General features: G+C 35.2%; 1 pseudogene; it reads left to right on the forward strand.

Annotated features, from left to right (window-relative positions):
• On the forward strand, window positions 407-1,490 carry OR13K1P (olfactory receptor family 13 subfamily K member 1 pseudogene; annotated as a pseudogene).

The raw sequence follows: 4,773 nt of genomic DNA on the forward strand, positions 1-4,773 counted from the left end.
ACACATTTTATGTCATGGATGTGAATCAGCTAAAGACAAATATCCATAGTGGGAAAGGATAATTAGCAATTCTGTGATTCGGGAATCTGATTACATTTGAACAATAAGATAGCACCTTTTCTTTAAGAGGAGTGTTCAAAAGTAAAGTCCAACCTCCCTCATTTTAAAGATGAAGAAATTAAGACTCATAATGGATGTGCTACTTAGCAAATTAATCTTATGCTGTATATGAATGTTTTATCTCCCAAATTAAAACATAAAGATCCAAATGACATTACTTGTTTTGTAGACATCTCTTCCTAATAGCACCCAATATAGAGATTGAGGATATAGCAAATACTCAATAATTGCCTCTCAAATTAAAATGAATTGAATTCCTTCTTCTTTCTCGGCAGATAGAACAAAATGGATATTCTGGTTATTGATAATGGCAGTGAAGTGACAGAGTTCATCCTGGTGGGTTTGTACAACCATCCAAAATTTCAGATTGCCTTTTATCGCACCATGGTAGTGGTCTACCTGATCACATTTGTTGGTAGCAGTCTCATTATTGTTGTGGTTAAAGTTGATGGGTGGCTTCACACTCCTATGTGTTTTTTCCTAAGCAACCTGTCCTTCCTTGATATCTGCTACTCCAGCAATTCAGTACCTTTTTTGTTGTTCAATGGCTTAAGAGACTACCCCACCATTTCCTATAACAGCTGTTATGCCCAGATGACCAGTGCTTTTTTTCTGGGGATGACAGGGTGTCTTCTCCTTGCTGTCATGGCTTATGAGAGATTTGTTGTGATCTCCAATCCCCTGCGCTACATCATCATTATGAACAATAAGGTCTGCATACAGTTGGCCATGGTGACCTGGGCCAGTGCCTTCCTTATGTCATTAATACAATAATTGCAATAATACATTGCAATAATACATTAATTGCAATGATTGCATTGCAATTCCTGCCCATTTTTGTGGACACAATGTCATCAACCATTTTACCTGTGAGGTGCAGGAATTGTTGAAGCTTGTCTGCTCAGACATCCCAGGCAGCCTCATCCTCGGTCTAGTCATCGGCATATTCACCTTGTCCCTGCCCTTCACCTTGCCCCTGCCCTTCACCTTCATCCTCTTCGCCTATGCTCACATTGTGGTTGCTGTGCTGAGGATCAACTCTGCAGAGGCCAGACTCAAAGCTTTCTCCACCTGTGGATCCCATCTGACTGTGATCATCATATTTTATGGGACAGCCACCTACATGTACTTGAAACCTCAGTCAAGGGAATCCCAAGATGAGGGTAAAGTCATCTCTGTATTTTTTTTGAAAGTATTTTTTATTATACTTTAAGTTCTGGGGTACATGTGCAGAACGTGTAGTTTTGTTACATAGGTATACACATGCCAGAGAAGCAACATCAAAATGATAGCATCTCTGTATTTTATGGTGTTGTGACCCCTATGTTGAACCCCCTCATTTACACCTTGAGAGACAAGGATGCGAAAATGCTCTAAGAAAAATAATTAGGAAGAAAGAGTCCTAAAAGAATGTGAATATCGCATGGAGGCTCATCTAACCAACAGTTTGATATTGACTTGTAAAAATAACAAGGTAGAAATACTAAACAACATTTTATAAGATAATTAAAGTGTTTTCTCTATTTCCAACAGGCATGTAAAATCTTTCCACTGAGAAAAAAAATGTTAAACTTTTATAGTACCACCATTTAAGTAGTACACAGGGCAGCCTTGAAGGAGAGTTTTAAAATAAAATAATAATTAGTACATTGTAATCCTGAGCAGTTTGATTTTATTTTACTAAATTGGAAATATTCTATTATAATATAATAATAATATGCTGAGATTCCCTTTTTTAGGTGAAAAAGAGCAAAGTTGCAAAATCGACAATTCTTATCTCAATGTTTTTGGTGTAAAATGTGTCATAACCCACACTTTGAAGTGATGGAGGTGAGTAGAGAGAAAAAAATTACTTAACTACTACATAAGTGTCTGCATAGAAGGTCCTCTGCTAAAGCAAGGAGGCCTTCAAGACTGTGAACCTACTGAGAACTAGAACTGATAGACATTATGGAAAATGCAATTACATGTCTTGATCAGTAGATAGGGCTATATTTTCTCTATGAGTGTGCACTATTCCTTCCAACTTCCAAAGGTGATCTAAAGGTGTTGACCTTACAAACACAGCAAATTTAACTCAGGAGGAATGTCTTTTAAAAAGCAAATATATACAGTATTTTTAAATTATAATGTTAATTATTTAAAAGTAGATAAAACGGTAGAGAATAAATTTAAAAATCACCTATAATTCCAACACTCAATGAGGCTTGCATCAGTTTGGGGTTCAGATATGCATGTATTTAAGTCTGCTATGCACAATTATTTCAGATTCAGCTCATCACTTTCCATATTTACACCTCAGTTTTCTCATCTATAAAATGGGGATTATAAGAGTGCCTACCTCACAAAAGTGGTTTTGAAAATTAAATGTGATAATACAAGTCACATTTCTATCACAATGTCTAGCATATGGTGGACATTGAATATGTATCAACCAAAAAAATACCTGTCAATTTGCCCTTTAAAATCCACACCCATTGTATGAGTGGTCATTTGCCTATGTCTATACCAATAATGACTGTATCATTTAAAAATATTCCATGACAATATGACAGACTGAAAATTTGTGTTTATTATCTTATTATCTTTGAGGTTGGGTCAAAATGTCAGTGAGTCAGCCCAACTCTGGAAAAAAGAAAATACTAAACTCAGTAACGTATGACTAATAAAAGCTTCCAAACTTGTTTCAATCTAATTGACTCCACCATTGCTTCTGGATACATCCTGGCAGGTACACCCAAAGTTGGATCTATTCTATTTCACTCTGGTAAGCACTCCTGGAATTAATACTTTATCCATCAACAACAGAAGCTGACTGAAGACTATTGTAAGTGCAAACAAAAATGAGAAAAGCATGGGAACCCCAATAAAGAACTCTTTGGAAAAGAAATCTATGGTGCTATACAAATTTTGTCGTAACATTATCAATTTAATCCTGAAAAAATTCTCATGTAAGTTTAATTTCTGATGTTTTCTAATCCTTCTCATCTAACCTAACGCAACCCTGAAACTAGAAGGAAGGTACTATTAACTAACAAGAAGACACAGTGAGCAGATGAAGTCAAACACTAGAGGATGGAAACAAATATGATTTCTCAGATGTAAGGGGGAAAAAGGGAGGAAAACTGCAAGCCTAATACTTATTAGAGTTTGATCATTTTCATTAGGAACTAAGAGGAGGTAGAGAGGAACAAGAAATGAGATGTGCCTTGTGCTGACAGAGAGAAATTTATCGGGGAGAGGCAGGGACCTTTTTAGCTGTGAGAGAAAATTAGACAGGTAAACTAATTTCTTTCCTTTTGATTACCTCAAGGAGAAGTTAGACAAGACTCTCTCTAGAGAAATGTGTTACATCTGGAAGTGGAGAACAAGCTACAGGAAGCTTTCTAACATGAAGTCAAGACTCTGGATGAGTAGAAAATGTAAGAAATTATAAGAACAACTGTTCAGTTATAGTTGAATGTGTTAGGTGCCTTTATATTAAAAGTTTGCTGTGAAATTTGCCTTCTCCAAATCTTCCTTGTATTACAAAATAAACAAGTCTGAGTCATAATAAATAAGCAATACTTTAGAACTACCCTAAGCCTTGGGAAATTTGTTTAAATTTCTTATCTCTGCCAAACAGCAGTTATGACTCGTAGCTGATAATGGACAACTCTGCGTCTCTGCACACCATCTCCTCATAAGGTGTGCCAAAATCACAAAACAACATCTTAGAAGGTTGAACTGACCCCTTAAAAAATCAACATCGCTGAGAAAAGAGCTTCGTGCTGTGTACTGGCAGCAGCAGAGCAAACAAAATGCACTTGAGCACCATAACCACAACTTTTCCAGGAAGTATTTCACAGAAATAAATTTTAAAATTTGAAAAAAATTAAGAAGAAATCATTGAACTTTTAGTGAATTTGTCAACAATGTCAGTACTAAGTAGTAAGAAAATAAAATTAATTACCTACAGAATGGTCCTTTGGTTTTAACAAGTCATGAAAGCAGAACTAGTCAATCTACCATTTTCATCACGTAGAAAGGAGTACATAGAAAAGTGCTCATTTGTTCCTGCAATTTTTTGTTGTCGTTGGCTCAATTAAAATAATCATCAAATAAAGTTTTTCACTAATGCATTTGAGTCATGGCCCTGTATGCCCATATCTGCTTGTCCACATATATACATGGACATATACACACAAGCTTTATTGTCAGAAAGACCTGAACTTGGGCAATATATTTTAACCCCTCTGAAACCCTCATTATCAGCTATGTAGTATAGAATATAATAACCTCTACTTCATAGTGCTGCTTATGAGCATAAGATAAACAGTGTAAAACACTTAGTACAGTACTTGGCAAATAGTAAGCACCTTAAAATACTTTATTACTTTTACTATTCCCATTTTTATTATTTTTAATTGACATAATAATTGTATATATTTATGGGATACAGTGAGTATGTGATAATCAAATAAGGTTAATTTACATATTCATCACTTCAAACATTTATCATTTCTTTGTGTTGGAAACATTCAAAATCTGTTCTTCTAGCTATTTGAAAATATACAATAAATATTGTTGATTTCAGTCCCTCTTTAGTGCTACAGAACACTAGAACTTATTCCTCTTATCTAGCTGTACCTTTGTACCTGTTGACCAAACTTT

Source organism: Homo sapiens, chromosome X, assembly GCF_000001405.40.
Source record: "Homo sapiens chromosome X, GRCh38.p14 Primary Assembly".
NCBI classification, from domain to species: Eukaryota; Metazoa; Chordata; class Mammalia; order Primates; family Hominidae; genus Homo; species Homo sapiens.